This window comes from Homo sapiens, chromosome 20 (assembly GCF_000001405.40).
Source record: "Homo sapiens chromosome 20, GRCh38.p14 Primary Assembly".
In the NCBI taxonomy this organism is placed as follows: Eukaryota; Metazoa; Chordata; class Mammalia; order Primates; family Hominidae; genus Homo; species Homo sapiens.
The window spans coordinates 42,942,723-42,960,719 of record NC_000020.11 but is presented as its reverse complement, the minus strand read 5'-3'; the positions used below and the strand labels follow the sequence as shown (position 1 = coordinate 42,960,719).

The 17,997-nt window shown below is 45.4% G+C and overlaps 1 protein-coding gene and 1 long non-coding RNA gene across 7 annotated transcripts in view; one reads left to right on the top strand and one right to left on the bottom strand.

Annotated features, from left to right (window-relative positions):
* PTPRT (protein tyrosine phosphatase receptor type T) overlaps nt 1–17,997 on the top strand; it is a 1,158,017-nt gene that overhangs the window by 229,187 nt on the left and 910,833 nt on the right. The window lies entirely within an intron of this gene.
* LOC105372623 (uncharacterized) lies at nt 4,926–11,330 on the bottom strand. Its single transcript, XR_936733.3, has 3 exons — nt 11,247–11,330; nt 6,154–6,259; nt 4,926–5,056 (listed from the first exon to the last, which is right to left on the bottom strand). It is a non-coding gene; the product is annotated as an uncharacterized LOC105372623 (long non-coding RNA).

The following is a 17,997-nucleotide window of genomic DNA, read 5'->3' as shown; positions in this document are numbered from 1 at the left end:
CCCAGTTGCTTAAGGGCTGTGTGTGTATATGTGTGTGTACCTGTGTGCATGTACCTAGTGTGATCCCAATACTGGGGGGAGAGGAAACAGTGACAGATGCAGGCTGGCGACTACACATACCCAGAGAGAAGGTACTTCTATTAATGCGACTACATGAGATATTTTGCTATTACTAAGGTCTAATGTTTGTATCCCTTGAAAATTCATGTTGAAACTTAATCCCCAATGCAACAATATTAAGAGATGGGGCCTTTAGGAGGTTCTTAGGTCATGAGGGCTCCGTCTTCATGAATGGGATTAATGCTTTTATAAAAGGGCTAGAGGGAGCTTGTTAGGTCCTCCAGCTCCCCTTCCACCCTGTGAGGACACAGCAAGAAGGTGCCATCTTGGAAGCAGAGAACAGGCTCTCACCAGACACCAAACCTGCCAGCACCTTGATCTTGGACTTCTCAGCCTTCAGAACTGTGAAAAATAAACGTCTACAATTGATAAATTACCCAGTCTAAGGTATTTTGTTGTATCAGCAGAAATGGACTAATAAATCAGTGAAAATATTTATTAAAATTGACATATGATCTAGTTGGTGACTGTATATGAGGGAGTTCCTAGTAGCTAGTAAATAGGTTGGGTGGTCAGAGTCCAGACTTGCTCATTGTCACCTAAGGACCCAGACACTCCGTGAGTAGATGATGGGAGGGACAAGGTGTCTGAAAAGGGGGCCAGCCCTTGGAGGTGAGAGTGATGTTGTTCTAGGAACCTGAGCATGGGATGAGATGAGCTTGCGAGGTCCCTGGTAAGGAGTGAGTCCCCTCCAGAAGATAAGGCACTGTCCATTGTCGGCTGGGCTATTTCTGTGTCTCCTGTCCTTGTTCTCTCTTGGACTCCCCCCTAAGGACTTAGGAAATCTTTCTGCAAGTTGCAGCCAGTGTCAGCTGTTCACAGAACCAAGGAATGGCTTGTGCATGGGTTCTGACCTTAAAGAAGGGAGCAGAGCTCCCTTGGGGTAGGCGCTAGTGGAAGCTAGAAACAAGGAGGATTCAAGCAGAAGGTGAAAGTCAGCCTGAAACCCTGGGCTTTTGTTTTATTTTTTTTCCAGTTGTCCCACCTGTGCTGGATTTTGAGGGGATTTGGCTTTATTGTATGGTGGAGGCCAGTCACAGCATCTCTCTGAATCTCTGTTTTCTCATCTATAAAATGGGGATAATAGCAATACCTACTTTCAAGGGCTTTTCTGTGAATTAAATGAGATGATGCATCCGAAGTACGGGTCTCAGTCCCTGGCACAGGAAGCTATGTTCAGTCACATCTGGTTTTCTTTTCTTCTCCTTGACTTTGAGATATTCCGCTTAGTTTAGGGCGAGAAATTAGTTATGTCTTTTGGTGATCACCGTTTCTCTAACTTTTTATTTTTATTTAATTTAGCAAGTACTTACATGGCACTTTCTATGAACCAGGTAGTATTCTAAGCACTTGACGTACATGAGCTCATGTAATCGTCATAAGAACCCTATGAGGTAGGTACTATTTTACAGATAAGAAAGCTCACATAGAAAACTTAACCTGTCCAAAGACACCCCACTAAGTTCAAACCCAAGTAGTCCAGTTTTGGGTTACTTTTAACCATTAGGCCAATCTAATTAGGTTAGGGTATTGAGTACAATTAAGTTACATTCTATAAAAGAATAGTTGAGAAATGAGTTGGGAAAAGATACTGGGTGAACTGAAACATTTAATTTAAGACAGACAGTGGGAATACTAAGCGAATTCAGAGGGTGGAGGTTGCATCATATTATTGTCATTAATCAATGCATATTGATTTTCCAGGCAAATACTGAGCTATATTAAGGCTGCAGAGGCAGAGTTGCCACCTTGAAAAAGTGGGTCTCTCTCAGGAGGAGGTTCATAAGTTAACAGCCGAGGGGTGAAGGGTTGGGTGACAATACATCTTGGTGTGCTGGGGTTTGTGTCTATTGTTCCCCAGTATAATTATTAACAGCAGTCCTTTTCTCTCTTAAAAGTGTCCTAGTGTAGATGATAAATTATGTGTTCCCCTAGTAAAGGGGTAGAGGGAGGTGCAGGGGACAATGTGGAGGGGAGAAAAATGTTCTAGCCTAATGTTGTGTAGGGTTGGTGAGGTCACTTGGCTTCCTGGCCATCATTTATCTATCTGCAAATGATTTGATTGGACTAGACACTTTTGATGTTTTTCTGTAGGTTTCCTTTCTTCCTTCCTTTTCTTCCCTTCTCCCCTCCCCCTCCCCCCTCCTTTCCTCCTCACCCTTCCTCCCTTCCTCCTTTCCTCCCTTCTTCCCTTTCCCACCATTCCCTTTCCTCCCTTGCTTTCTTCTTCCCCTCCCCTCCCTTCCCAGCCCCTCCTCTCCCCTCCCTCCTCCCTTGCTCCCTCCCCTCCCCTTCCCTCCCCTCCTCTCCCCTTCCCTCCTCTCCTCTCACCCTTCCTCACTCTCTCCCTTCCTCCCTTTCTCCCTCTCCCTGTCTCCCTCTCTCCCTGTCCCCCACCTTCTGTCCCCCACCCCACCTCTCCCTCTCTCTATCTCTCCTTCCTAACCTGCCTAGCCTCTCGAGGTACACATTAGGGGATGAAACTCACCCCTGCAAGCAAGCATGCTATGTCATTTGCATGTGAGGCACAGAGCCTGTCTGCCGCTCTCTCTGCTGAACTCTTTTTGGGTCCCTTGCTTGACTGACTGCAATAAATGAGGTGTCATTTAAGAGTGCATGATGTGGAGATCACAAGTATTGGGCCCAAAGTACCCAATATTAATTGATAAAAAAGTAATTAATGGAAATCTAATTAAAGCAGACATTCTGCACAGGGCACTCCTGGAATCCTGGGACCATCTCAATTACCAACTTTCCTCTGAGCTAATAATGTGTAATTGGGAGGTTTTAGGCTCTAATGGAAGAGATGAATAAAAAATTAATTAATGAGAAAGAAAATTAAATCTGAGTTTGTTAAAAAATTTCCAGAGATGGGTACAGTGCAGTGCAACAGTAGGTACTAGAAGGTTTATTAATGAAAATCTTTACAAGTGACAGCATCTCCCTTGCAGAACTGACACCCCTCTTCCATGCCTTGCCTCACCCTGTGTCATTTGTCTCTGTTAGGTAGCATCTGATGTCAGCCTGGGCTCTGAGAACCAAGGGAGAGTCTGAATGTGGAAGAATCAGAAGATTTCCCTTATTCCTGAGGAGAGAAAGTATGCTCTGGCGTCTCTCTCCAGCAGTTTCTCTGATATAGAAATCAGTAAACAAAGACTGAGTCTCCCAGTCTTTCAAAAAGAAATACAGTGTTAAATCAATGTATGAGATTAAAAATACATTTACTTTACCTACAGCTATATGAAAAATTAACACCCTTCCATATGCAGGAAATCTGTTTTTATAAATGTTTATGAGCAGGTGACGTTTACGAGGGCCCCTAATTAGATTGGCTTGCCGTGTACTGCTGCGTACTGCCACTCGACCTTTGGCATGATTCATTGTTCTGTTTTATTGATCTGTAGTTAATCACTTCTAGGTTTCGATTTTTCCCTATCAAATGAGCTGGGGAGTTCCGGCATGCTCAGGGCAGCTTTTGATGCTGTCCTAGGTGTTTCTAAAATTTAGTGACCACAAAAGTCACTTGGAGAGCTTGTTAAAAATATGCAGACTCCGTGGTTGAATCTCCCAATGAAACCACTCCTTTAGTTCTGGGTGTGGCCCAGAAATCTGCATTTCCAATGGGTGGTTTAGATCCAGGTGACTTGGGCGCTGGGGTGGTTGGTGAGTTGAATGCTTTTTGCCACTGAATGAAGGAACACTCATTTTTGGATTCAAAGAAACGGTATCTTGGACTCAGTTTATGTGCCTCCTAGATTCACTTGGCCCACCTGTTCCCCAAGCCTTGACTTCTTGGCCAGTGCATAGTCCTGACCGTTGTTGCTGTCACCTGTACTCTTAACAACACTGACTGTCTCATTTCCCCTAGGGGAGAAGGTGAGACTTTGTCACAGTCTCCTCTGCCCTTTCTGCCCAGGTGGGAGCTGCAGAGTCTTTGGTGCTCTAGTGTGTTAGGCCATTCTTGCATTGCTGAAAGAAATACCTGAGGCTGGGTAATTTATTTAAAAAAAAAAAGAGAGAGATTTAATTGGCTCCTGGTTCTGCAGGCTTCCAGAAAGCATGGTGCTGGCATCTGCTTAGCTTCTGGGGAGGCCTCAGGAAGCTTACAATCAAGGCAGAAGGCAAAGGGGGAGCAGGTGTCTCACACGGCTAGAGTAGGAGCAGGTGTCTCACACGGCTAGAGTAGGAGCAAGAGAGAGAGTTACTGGGGGAGGTGCCACAAACTTTCAAACAACTGGATCTTGTGAGAGCTCAATCACTATTGCGAGGAGAGCACCAAAAGGAGGTGCTGAACCATTCATGAGGATCCCACCCCCATGATCCAATTGCTTCCCACTAGGTCCCACCTCCGGCAGTGGGGATTACAGTTCAATATGAGATTTAGAGGGGATAACATCCAAACTGTCTCACCAAGTTTGGGCAGACAATGCTTGGAAAAACCCCATACTACGGGGTAGGATCTGGCTTTTCCAACGACTGCATGGAGGAGCTTGAGTGTCACAACCTGTACATGCAATAGAGTTAACCACCTGTGTGTGGGGGAAAGCTTTAACCAGAGGGCCAGGAACCAAGGCAGCAGATAAATCCTCTCCCTTCCTCTCCTGGAAGGGAATGCGCTAAGGCCAAGGGCTTCCACACTGCCGTGTGCCCAAGCAAGCGGTGATGTTTACTGGCAAAGCTGTGGCTGGCCCGGGGATGCACTGCCTTGTATAGGTTCATCCTCCCTCCCTCCCTCCCTCCCTCCTTCTCCCTCCCTCCCTCCTTCTCCCTCACTCCCTCCCTCCCTCCTTCTCCCTCACTTTTTCTGCCTTGGCTTTGCCCCTGCAGTGAAGTCTTTGTGAGAATGTACTGCCTCAGCCTCTGTTCCTGGGCTGCACTGTGGTTTGTGGGCTGGGGATCAAAGTCAGGTAGTCTTCGTGAGCCTCAGCCTTTGCGTCTGGAAAATGAGGACAGTAATCTCAGTACTTTACTCATGAAGAAATTGTAAAGCTTAAGGAACAATAATGTAAGTACAAGTGAAAGGATGTTATAATAAATAAGTGTTAATAATCATACTAATTACGGTTATGCCCCTCAGTCATGGCAATTGAGGCTTATTCTTGGGAGGCCTCAGGCATGCACTTAGTAGGGTGAACCAAACCGACATTGTCCTTGAACTGTGCTTTCCAGAATGTGTTCCACAGCCTGTTAAAAGATGCTGCTTGTGACAACAAACATAAAAAGCAAGTGTGGGAAATTCTGGGATTGTAGGCTTTTAATGCAGGACCTTGTGGGGTCTGTGAATTGCCATGTTTTTCAGCCGTGCAACTTTACTAACTGGCCAGTAACCTAGAGTAACCAAGTTATTTAATGTATCTGTGCCTCGCAGGGCTGTGGGAAGGATTAATGGTGTTAATACAGATAAGCTTGTAGAATAGTGTCTGGTACACAGTAAAAGCTCAATAAATGTTGATGATGATCATTAATATGATTTATATTGCTATGGCAACGTGTGTTGTGCATCACTAAGAGGGGGATAGAGTGTGCGGCGTTTCTTAAACTCATGTTGTCCATAGGGAATGAGCTTCTGTGTAACTCCTCCTCCCTCTCCTCCCTGGCCCTTCCCTCTTTGTCCTTTCTTTTCCCTTTCTACCCTTCCTTAACCTTCTCCTCTCCCTTCTCCCTCTTCCTCTCCTCCCTACCCTTTTCTTCTTTCCCTCCCTTCCCTCCTCCTTTCCCTTCTCTCCTCTCCTCTTCCATCGTCTTCTCCTACTATTGTGATTCTAAGGATGTCTCCTTGGACAAAGGTGACCTAGAAAGAAGTGAGTGACCAGCATCATTTAAATCCTGGATATATTGCTCAGCTCAGGTCAAATTAGAGATATGGTAGCCTCTCTAGAGTTTATGCCATTTTTCTTCTGCAACAGGAAATCTCTTTTGCTTCCCTTTCTTCCTCCCCTCCCCACACACCCTTCCTTTTTAGGAAGGTGACTGCAAATGGTAAAAAAAAAGCAAACACGCACGTTGACTGAGCATCTTCTATGTAGCACTTACTGCTGAAGATGTGGATAACATGCTGTGCTTGCCTTTCTGGAACTTGTAGGCTGGCAGAGCTGTCTGATAGGCAAACTGTTGCATGTATCGTCAGGTCATGGCTTAACTGTAGGAGACAGAAAGTGATAAGAGGTGCTGGGATGCTGTCCTCCTGGACCAGGGGAGGGAGATTTGGCCCCAGAGCACTCACCCAAGTCTTCCATCAATTCCTCCCTCCAGTCCTGCTCACCAAACAAGAGCCTTATCATGATTTTGCTTCCCCAAAGTTCCCTCTAGAGAAGAAGGCACAGGTTAGATAACAGGAAAATCTGATCTGCTTGCAAGGTCTGTTTCTCCTGGGACATCAACAGCCTGGAATACAAGTTACACATCAACCTCTTATGAGTTGGATCTACTGAGTTAGTCTCGCTGAGACCAGTCAACTCTGGCAGGATTGAACTAACGGTGTGCAGAGTCGAGGGCCCACCCTCAGCTCAGGTGACTATACCAGGGTCAGCCATCCCACGGGAGGTCTTAGAGTCCCTCCTCCCCCTGTGACATCTCCCAGACTCGTCCATTATCTCCCAGGCTGTGATATAGCCATCCAGGGCAGTGATTCTCAATCTCAAGTGATTTTTCCCTTCATGGGATATATGGCCATTCTGGGGATATTTTTGCTTGTCACGACTGAAAGGGGTACTAATGATATCCAGAGGAAAGAGATGCTGCTAAGCACCCTACAAAGCACTGGACAGCCCCCTAAACAGAGAAGAATCTGGTGCAAAATGCCAATAATACCAAGATTGAGAAACCCCGGTTTAGCCAGGCTCAGTCATCTGAGGTCCTCTCTGGAGAGACTAAGAAATTGGCAAGGTGGAATTCTGCTGCCTTTACATAAACGGGAGGGCTCAGCTTCTCCACGGGCTGGGCAGCTTTAGATGGCTGACTCTTCTGAGTGCTGGGGCCAGAGGCTCTTCTAGGAGTGTGATAGACTCTATTCTACAGGGTTAACTGCAGGTGGAAGTGAGAAGATACTTCCCCCGCCAGGAACAGAGGTCATCTGAGCTCTTCTTCAAGTGAACAACAAGTTATGGCTTAACTACAGACTCACCTATACTTTTATCTTGTGTGATTCACCGAGGGATGGCAGTGGGTACCATGGCAGGGGCACTTGGAGATAGTTAGATCTGCTTTCGAATCCCAGCTCTACCTCTTACTGAGCTGTGTGACCTCTGGTACATTTCTTAACATCTCTGAGCCTCAGTCTTCTGCACACTGTGGATGGCCAGGCCTGCCTCACTATGCACCTGCTAGCTGAGACCTTGGCAGTGGTGGAAGGCACAGCTCTGTCTACCCTCCCCGCCTTTATGCAGCCTTGCCCCTCTGCTGACTCTCAGGATACCTACTCAAGGGAGCTGTCATTTAGTTTAGATTTGGTTTCCTTTCCTCCACCCTCAGAACTTCCTTTGGGTTGGCCTGGTCCAGTTTTCTTTGCAGATTCTGCAGTGGCACAGAGTGTTGTTAAAAAGAGAAAGGCTGGTGGGGAAGAAACCCATTTAAGGCATGAGCTGAAGGGCATGAAAGTGGAGGTAATGGCTTTGCTGCGTTCAGATCTGTGTCTACAAAGGGACTATTTATCCAACCTAAGATTTTTTTTAAGAGTATATACAAAAGAATCCACCGTCTCATTTATTAGGTACCTGCTGTTAGTGCTATTGTACCCATTTTAATGGTGGGAAAAAGAGAGCCTCAGAGAGGTTCTGTGTCTGCCCATAAAGCAAGATGCTGGTAGATCTATTTCCAGACCCCCTGCTTTGTAACCCATTCTCAGGATTGTCATGTGGACCAAATGGAATAGTGCATTTATGTACTCAGTGAGGTAACTGGAGCATATTAGTGCTTGGCAGTGATGAAGTCGACCTAGAGCAAACACTTATATACTGCTTACTGTATTCCAGGTGGTGTTCCAGCTGCATTACATATTTGCACACCTTAGTTATCATAAGCCTAGAAGAAGGTACTTATTCCCATTTGACAGATAAGGAAACTGAGGCACGCAGAAGTTGTGCAGATTGCCTAGGGTAATGGAGCTAGTAAGTGGCAGAATTGAGGTTTAAAGCAGGCAGCCTAGCTGTTCCAGTGTCCCTGCTTTTTGTTCCTGCACTGTTTTGCTTAGAGTTCTGCCTAGTTATTCTTATTTTTGTTCTCACTGTCCTTCATAGCTACGCAGAGGCAAGATGATTCTGATGGAGGAGGACACAATCCTAGTTTATGCAGCCCTTTGATTCTGGCTCCATGAAAGTTCAATTTTGGTGATTGCGCCAACTGCGATGGATGGGCCCAGGCTTCTGAAGTGGTTTTAATGGCTAGCCATGGTGGCATGACGTGTGGACTCATGTGGTGTGGAGCAGGCTTGTGGCACACAGCTAGTTGCGTCCTTGGGAGAGGGGAGGAAGTAGGCTGGACACTGCGTGGCCACATGATCCTGCCCTGCTATGCCTTTGAGTCTCTCTCGACCTTCTGACTACTGTTTAACCCTAATAGCATTTAGTATTCCTCACAGCTCATAGCCCGGGTTCAAGAAGCAGGGATTTGGGTGCCTTTTCCTAAAATGGAGGCTTTTGGTGTTAAAAACATTTTCTTGGCCAGGCCCTATGTCTGACTCTTTCACATACTTCATCTCATTTATTCCTCATAGCAACTCTGGGAGATAGGTACAATTATCCACAATCTACAGCTGAGGAAATTGAGGCTTACACAGCGTGTAAGTGGCTGAACTGAGATTTAGACTCAGGGCTGTGCAACTCAGTCAGCTATCAAGGCCTGCTGATAACTCTTGAATCTATTTCTGCCTCCGTGTATCCACTGCTGTTATCCTAGACCAAGCTACCATCAGCTCTCACCTGGATCATGGTAATAGATGTTGCACTCCTCTCCCTGCACCCACTCTTATTGCCTTTAATCTATTTACTACTTTAAAGATATTGAAATCTTAGGTCCTCAAGGATTGGGACCTTATCTCAGATATCCAGTGCTGAATCCTCAGTGCTTTTCACATCTTGCCTGGTACATGGTAGGTGCTCAAAAATGTAAATGAATAAATGGATGGATGATTAGATTTACATCTTAGAAAAATTATGCTGATGGGTGATTTCTCTATCATCCATCCATCCACTCGCTTACCCACCCCCCCATCTATTTATTCATCTATCCCTCTCCTGTCTGTCCATCTATCCATCTGCCCATTCATCTGCCCATCCATCCACTCATCCCCCATCTACTCATCCATCATCCATTCACACATTTATAATTCATCTCCATCCATCCATCCACCCCTCCATGAATCCAAGCATCCATCCATATACCCACCCATCCATCTACCCATGTATTCATCCATCTCCTGTTTACCCATCCATCTATCATATATCCACACATCCACGATTAATACCCATCCATGCATCCCTCCATCCATCCTTCATTCTCTCATCCATCTATCATTTTATTTCTATTCATCCAACCAGTCATTTGTTAGAACAGGAAAAAGGCAAAATACATTTAGTGCTGTTAGGTCAGAAATAAAAGTGCTCTTTGATGAAGAAAACATCACATTATTTCTTATTTTAAGAGTGAATCTTGATTGAAGCAGACAATTTTCATGAGTTAACACGTGCCTCAAAATTTGGACCTTCATCTAAAATACTAAAATATAACCTGTGCCTTTTCTAATTTTCTCTGTAGATGATCAGAGACAGCATGAGCAATTCAAATACAAGCCAAACTCTGTTTCCTTGCCTGCTAGAAAGCCACTTGCACTTTGGGGTGCAAAACAGAGATTGCAGACATATTAATATTTAAGGGCATGGAGACTGTCTAAAGCTAAGGTATAGGCATGTAAAACACGTACCCAATTACAGAGTAGATTTTTATAATGTCTAGGTGGAAGGCTGTGGTGCCTCCTCTGTAGTGACTCCGTCCACCATCTTGGTTACCACCCCAGAACACCAGGGATCCCAGTTCTGCCTCTCAGGTTGGGGTTTGGAGCTATTGGCACTACGAGGGGATGCCAGGGATTCCATGCTGTTTCCACAGACTTCTGCCCATGGTCGTAGTTAACAAAGGCAGCTAGGTGAGAAGGGACAGGATTACCAGTGCAGGAGCCTCATAAATATGAGATGAGATGGCTGGGATGGAAATGAAAGTTGAGATGCTCAAAAATAAAGCGTGAAAGAGTCCTGGCCCCATATAAGAACAGGATTGATCTCTGTACGCTGACAGAATGTACGATTTCCCTTCACTTTACTACAGTGCTTCTGTTTCTATAGAAACCACCAATTTTATAGACAGATCAGCTCTGTGAGAAGGCGTGGGGAGTTCAGTTTGAAGCCAAGTGCCGTCAGGGCACCAGTGCTCCCAACCCTGAGGAGGGGGCTTTCTTCTTTGCTAGCTAACTAGCTCTCTTGGGGATGGTTAATGATTACTAGGCTTGGATTCTGTCACTGTTATTATAATAACACTTGCAGTACCGCTTTGCTGCCACAGAGTCCCAAAGACACGGTTAGTTCTAGGACTCACAGAACATTTTCATGGAGGGCAGTGGCACTCAGGCCTTCTTCCTTCCTTTCATTTGTTCGTTGGATACATACTGGATGTCTTAGCACCAGCCACTGTGCCAAGCCCTGGAGTAGTACAAGGTATGGTAAGGGAGAAAGACAGGCAAATCAATAACTTTGTCTCAGTTCTACAATAGAGATTTTTTCTGGCCAGGGTGAGCTTAGAAAGTAGTGTTTTGTTTTGGGTAGATTTCAGGAATGGTTTGGCAAACATAAAAAATAGCTGAGTGGTTCAGTTATCTTTGCTGCATAACAAGGTACTTCAAAACCTAATAATGTAAACCAACAACTGTTTAATGTGTTCATGATTCTGTGGGTCATGAATTGGAGCAGGCACATTGGAAAAGTTTGTCTCCACTCCATAATGTTTGATGCTCCCGCTGGGGTGGATCAAAGGCAAAAATGGCTGGCCAGCTCAAATGAATCCATATAACTGGAACCTTGCTTCTTCTTCAAGTGGCATTTGCTAGAACTGGAATATCCAAGAATGGTTGCTCTACTCACATGACTAGCACCAGGGCTGAGAAAACTGGAATAGCTGGAGGGTAGTTGACATTGCACTCTGTCTCTACATGGCTTTTTCCTGTGGCTAGCTTGGGCTTCCTTCCATCATGGCCACCTCAGAATAGACCAACTTCTTCAGTGGCAGCAGATGTTGTGAAGTTTATTATGACCTAGGCTCAGAAGTTCCAGAACATCACTACTACTGCGTTCTATTGGGGAAGAAAATAACTAAGGCCAGAGCAGATGCAAAGGGAGAGTAGGAATAGGCCCTAGCTCAGCCCTTAGCTGAGAATGACTTGCATGTCCAGGGAGGCAAAGAATTGATGGCAGACATCTTGGAGATAAGTTTCCCCGTTGAAGCATCCCAAGTTTCTGTTTTTAGCAATGGGATGATATCATAGTAGAGAGGAAGTCAACATTTGTAATAGGGTTGTAGTTGGCAGGATATCCAACAGTGGGATGAGGACAACATGGGGGGTTGGTTGTGTACATGGTGAGCAGCTCTTTTAATCAAGCCAGATTTGGGTTCATGGAACGTGTTCCCAGCAGCCTGTCCATTTGGCAGAGGTCATAAAAATGTCCATGGACAATTGGATACGTGGGTCTGATGCTCAGAGTTGAATCAGGCCTGGTGATACAGATGTGGCAGTCATCGCTCTAGCTGGGGTTGTTGGTTATCCATGATAGACTCCAACCCAAAATGGCATAAGCAAAAAGTAAATGTATTGGGTCATTTACTTGGAAACTTCTAGGGTGGGGTCCTTCAAGCATCACTGAATTTAAGGACTCACATGAGGTCATCAGTTTCAGATCTTTCACTCTCTCTCTGTCTTATCTCTTCACTTTGCATTTTTTTTTGTGTGAGCTGGCTGAACTCCTGGATGCACTCTTTCCTTAGGGAAGCAAGATGGCCAAATCCCTATTTCTCTAAGCTCACTGGAAAAGAGAGAAGTTTCATCACCAACCATTCAAATCCTGGGCCACACTTACATTGGCTTGTATTGGGCCACATGACCATCCCTGAGCTGTTCACTCAGGCCAGGGGCAGGTGAGGCTCTGAGAAGCCAACTCTGAGATATGTGCCCATACCTGGGGCAGGCTGGAGTGGGAAGGGGTAGTTCTCCAGAGGATGAACCGGGTGTTCCTAGATACAAATGATGATAAGGTGTAGGGCAGCTCAAACAGTACTGCCCTCCCTGGGTGGTAATGAGGCCATGAGATAGTCTGGGAAAAGGCTGTTGTTGAGTGAGAAGAGAAGGGGTCCTGGTGCAGGGCCTTGAAGAGCATCTCATGGATCAGCCATGGAAGCAGACACCATAAAGAGGCTGAGATGGACGGAGTCCTCAGGGAGGTAGGAGGAAAACCATTGGCATGTCACTTTCTAGAAACCAAGGGAAGGATACGAAGAGGGAGAGAGTGGTCAGCATTGGAAATACCTTGCAGAAGTCAAGTGGGGTTCACTCATTCATTCATTCATTCATTCATTCAACAAATGCATGTATTGAGCACCTACTGTGTGCCAGGCACTGTTCTAGTACTAGGGATACAAAAGTGGACAAGACAGACATAATTCCCTGTTCTCATGGATTTTACATCCTAGATAAGGATGAAGGAGTGGTCATTAGATTCAGTGACAAGGTAGAGACACTCGTCAGTGACCTTGGCAAGACAATTTCCGGGAGTCCTGGGGTGGGGTGGCCTCATGCACTGGATTGGAGAGTGAGTGAAAGGTATGAGGGTGGACAAAGTGAATGAGCACAATTCTTGCAAGAAGTTTGGTGTGCAGGGGAGGAAAGAAAAGGAGCAAGGGCTTGAGTGAAAGAGACATTGAGGAGATTTTTAAAGTTTATTTACTGTAATATGAAAGTGAGGCTTTCTCTTATTGTGTATATTTTGTTCTTCTGTGCCCTCAAACATTGCGATATTGTTTGGTCTGGTCCCCCAGAGAAGACCTCTCTCCTTGTCTATTTGCCTGAAGGAGATTGGCCTCTGGAGGGAGAGGGGAAGCATTAGAATTTCCCTGCTCTATGGAGAACAGGAGAGAATTCCTGCCATCCAGAGATGAGAGGAAGGGGACCCCTTCCCTTTTCTTCAGTGACTCTGCTGCCAGGGGCTGGGGGAAGGTTGGGCAGCATTGAAACTTTGCAAGATGCAAGGAGGGTGCATTTTAACAAGCACAAGTCTCTCTAGTCTAAACAAAACAAAATAATCCAACTTTCCTGTAAGCCTGCATTCTTGATTCCAAATTTCTTTATCTCTCCCATCATGCCAGCTGCCTGTGAGTGGCTGGGAATTGGGTGGAATGCAGGTAGTACGGGCACAGGGGTTGGGGAAATGTGAATAATTGGCCCCTGGAAAATTCAGAGTTGATTCTAATTCACCTAATTTTGGAAGCACGGCTCAAAATCCCATACCTGCACTTCTCATGCAACCTCAGTCAGAAATCTCCCTGTAGCCGCTCTCTTTGACCTGAATCGAAGTGGCTGGTTCTTGATGTTGTACCCTCAGATGACATTTGGCACTGTCTGGAGACATTTTTGGCTGTCAGAACTGTGGGAGGGGTGATCCTGGCATCTAGTGGGTAGAGACCAGGGATGTTGCTAAAAATTCTAAAATTCACAGGACAACCCCAGGGCAAATACCTTGCTCAAAATGTCAACAGTGCGGTGATTGAAGTTGAGAAACCCCGTTGTAAATCCTGCTGTTTTTGTGTTGGATGGAAGTTGCCATGACATTGAGTGAAGAAAGAAGGGAAGATTTAGGGCAAGAATTATACCAGTATATATGGTACATGTTGCTGATACTCCCACTAGGAAGTAATGGGTGTTTTGTGCTGAGACTGAATTTTTTGCCAGATAATCTAATGGTTGTATTTATAGTGACAACTCAGGGCCCCTGTCTAAGGAACTGATAACATTCTGACCCTCTGTCATGTATGTAACATCTTTTGCTGATGCCACAGTGAGGTCAGATCACAATCTGTTGTACTTAAAATACAGCACAATTTAAACTTTTGGGGTTGGTTAGTTCTTGGGATTTCTGGGTTTGGTTTTCTTTAGCAAAAGTGCCCAGGTATGTAAATATTAAGGTTTTTCCTTTCTCTTTGTGAGTATTGGACCTCCCAGGACTGGCCAGGGCTGGACTCTGGTGTCCTCAATGGGTCTGGTCCACATTCAGGCCCTGCCATCTGCTGTGGCACTCCTCAGGGTGATTCATTGTTTGGGGGCAAGTTCCCCCCAGGGATTGCCCACCTGTTGCAGAAGGAGAAAATTTCCAGGTGCAATGATTCCGATGTCCCCATTTCTTAGTGGGTCTGAGGAGGTTGAGAAAAGTCTGGCTATCAGCTCTGTACTCTGTGCTGCTCTCTGACTCGACATCTCTAACTGGCCAGGGGCCCAAACTTGCAAGGACATAGTGATCCCAGCTATATTGTGGATGAACCTCTAGAACATTATTCTAAGTGAAAGAAGCCCAACACAGAAGGTTGCGTATTGTATGATTCCATGTATATGATATGATTCTGGAAATGTGCAGACAAGGCAGATCCATAGAGACAGAAGGCAGATTATTGGTTACTAAGGGCTGGGGAAGGGGAACTGGAGTGACTGCTTAATGGGTCGGGGGTCTTCTCTGGCGGTGATGAAAGGGTCTTGCAACTAGATAGAAGTGTGATTGCACAACATTGTGAATGTACCAAATGCCACTGAATTGTACACTTTAAAATAGTTGTTCTATGTTATGGGAATTTTACCTCATTAAGAGCGAAGCACCCCAGTGGACAGAGCAGCTCAGCTGGTCTGATGCAGAGCACAGAGCCCTGGGTCCAGCACAAGGGGCAGTGACCCCGGTGACATGGGAGGAGGGGCCCTTCCTCAGGGAAACAGGCACCTTGGAGGCCCTGATGGGACAAGCCCTGCCCTGTTGGACACTGGAAGCAGGGAGCATCCGCTGGGGTTTTGTCTCTTCCATGTTTTGTTGGAAGTGATAAATGAAGCTTTGCATCTGCTTCATGGCAGATTAGTCCCGGGAGAAACAGCAGACGCCCTGGCAGACATGGTTAAATCCTCCTCAGTGGCCGGATTTAAATGCCTTTAGTTCCAGAACAGAGATAAACTATCCAGAGCTGTGATTGGTGGTGGCACAAGTCAAACAGCTGTCATTTATTAGCTGTGTGCCTTTGGGCAATTTATTTAACCTCTCACACTCCAGTTTCCTCACCTGCAAAATGGAACCGGTGAGGCCTAGATCATTGTAGATAAATACATACATACATACATACATATATATGTATCTTTAGAGTTACATTATAATAAATGTAAAGATACATATTATCTTTACATAATATATAAAGTATATATATAAATATCACATATTTTATATAAATATTACATATTTTATAATATATAGTATATATAAATACTATATAACACACACACACACAACATTTTATAATGTCTGGCCACAAATGACACTGGTGAATATTCATTTTATCCATAAAAATGTGGAGTGGGTTTATTCATTCATACAGTGAGTTTATTGAGCTCTTGCTATGTACCAGGCACAGGGAACAAACACCGACTCAGATGAACAATATTCTTTGCCTTCATGAAGCATATATACCACTGGGAGGTAAGATATCACAGACACATATTTGCAAATTACAATAAATACTGGGACTAAAACCAACCAAGTGCTTAATGCAGATAGTCTTCAACTGTGGACTTGATATACGGTAGTTGGGACAGATTCTCTGGGGAGACGATATGTAAACTGAGACCTGGTGGAAGAGAAGGTACCTCCTTCTCTTGGTCATGTGAAAAGTGGGGAGGTCTCCAGGTGGAGGGCATAGCACGTGCAAAGGCTCTGGGCTGGGAGAACGTGTGGCTTGTTCAAAGAGCTGTAGGAAGACCAGTGAGGCCAGGGAACAGCAAGTGGAAAGTAGCTGCAGGTAAGGTTGGAGGAATAGAATTGAGATGCTCTTCAGGTAGGCCTGGTGGGCCATCTCAACGAATTTGGATTTTATTCCAGGATTAAAGGGAGGCCAGTGCAGGCACTGGTGTGACTGGATTTTTGTTCCAGGAGTGTCACTGCTATTGGGAGGAAGAACGGTTTGGAGAGCTTCGTGAGTGGGATAGGAAGAGCAGTTTGCAGGTTCTTGTATTCCTCTCCATGTGGAAGCCGGCATTTCCTTTGCTTGTCTGCCTAGGAAGACAGAAATTCCAGCAGAAGCACTTTCCGCCCCCCGGCTCTAAAATCCTAAACTGTGATGTTTTCTCTGCTCTCCCTTGTGTGTTTCTCAGAAGTCTTCATGACTCAGTGGCAAGATAGTGGACCCAGGAATGTGGAAGGTGTTACTGGAGGTGGAAAGACACAGAGCTTTTCTGGGCAGTGGGGGCTTAATTTCAAGGAGGTTTGTTTGTTTGTTTGTTTATTTATTTATTTATTTTTATTTTTTGATACAGTGTCTCGCTCTGTCACCCAGGTTGGAGTGCAGTGGTGCCATCATAGCTCCCTGTAACCTTGAGCTCCTGAGCTTAAGTGATCCTCCTGCCTCAGCCTCCTAAGTAGCTGGGACTGCAGGCATGCGTCACCATTCCAGGCTAATTGTTTTTCAGTTTTTTTGTAGAGACAGGGTGTTGCTATGTTGCCCAGGCTGGTCTTGAACTCCCAGGCTGGAATGATCTTCCTGTCTTGGCCTCCCAAAGTGCTGAGATTACAGGTGCGAGCCACTGTGCCCTGCCCCAGGAAGGTTTGTTGAGGTGAACTATATGTTGAACGAGATTAACTGGATGGTGTATGGTGAAGCAGATGGCTTCAGATCCCTCATGGAGGAAGAAGGGGTTGTAGGAAAGTGAAAGATTCAGGCTGAGTTGGAGGCTGTGCTTCCTCATCCCTGTGCCTGATTTGCATCATTCCAGAGGACTGAAGCCACTCGGGGGTAGGGGTGTCCTAGGAGAGGCTGCTGCTGCTCATGCCTGGCACCTGGGAGGGGAAGTAAGAGTAACTTAGTCTTCAGTGGACAGCTCTTCTCATTAGGTCAAGCTTCCCTGCACCCGCTCAACTTTAGGCATTGGGCACAAGCTTCTGACCCGAAGGCTCTGCGTGCGTATCCCTTCACAAGCCAATCCCCAAAAATGGTTGGCTTTAGAGCGGATGGGTCACTTCCAGGAGCTGATGATCTCTGATCTTACTGCCCTGGGATGATATCCATTGAGTGTTTGGGACTTCTCGGGACATCTTCCACACTGTGACATTTTCCCAACCTCAGCCTTTTTGGCAGCCAGGCAACTCGGCTTCTGTCTGCCTGGATATTCTTGGAATGCCAGTCTTAGCTGAGGTGTGAACCCCTGTTGAAAGACTCTTTTCCTCAAGTTGCGTTTGGGTTTTGATCTAAATAAATGGATGAGTGAAATGGTTTCCACAAAAAAACTGTAAATGACAACAAACGATTGGCCCTTCTCATGCAAAGTGGAAGTGCTAAATATTGACATCTGTGGATGCCAAGTCTCTGTTGCAGAGTTTAATATGCAATTAGTGTAAGCTTTTCTTTATTAATTCAATGAGTATTTATGGAGTCCTGACCAAAGTAGTTAATAATAATAGACATTTATTGAACACTTCTTATATGCTGGGGAATACCTAAATATTCTACATGTATTAATTCTTAAAATCCTCTATCAACTTGATGGTTAGTACCATCAATATCCCTATTTCGAGGATAAAATATTGAGGCTTGGAAGAGTTGGCCGCT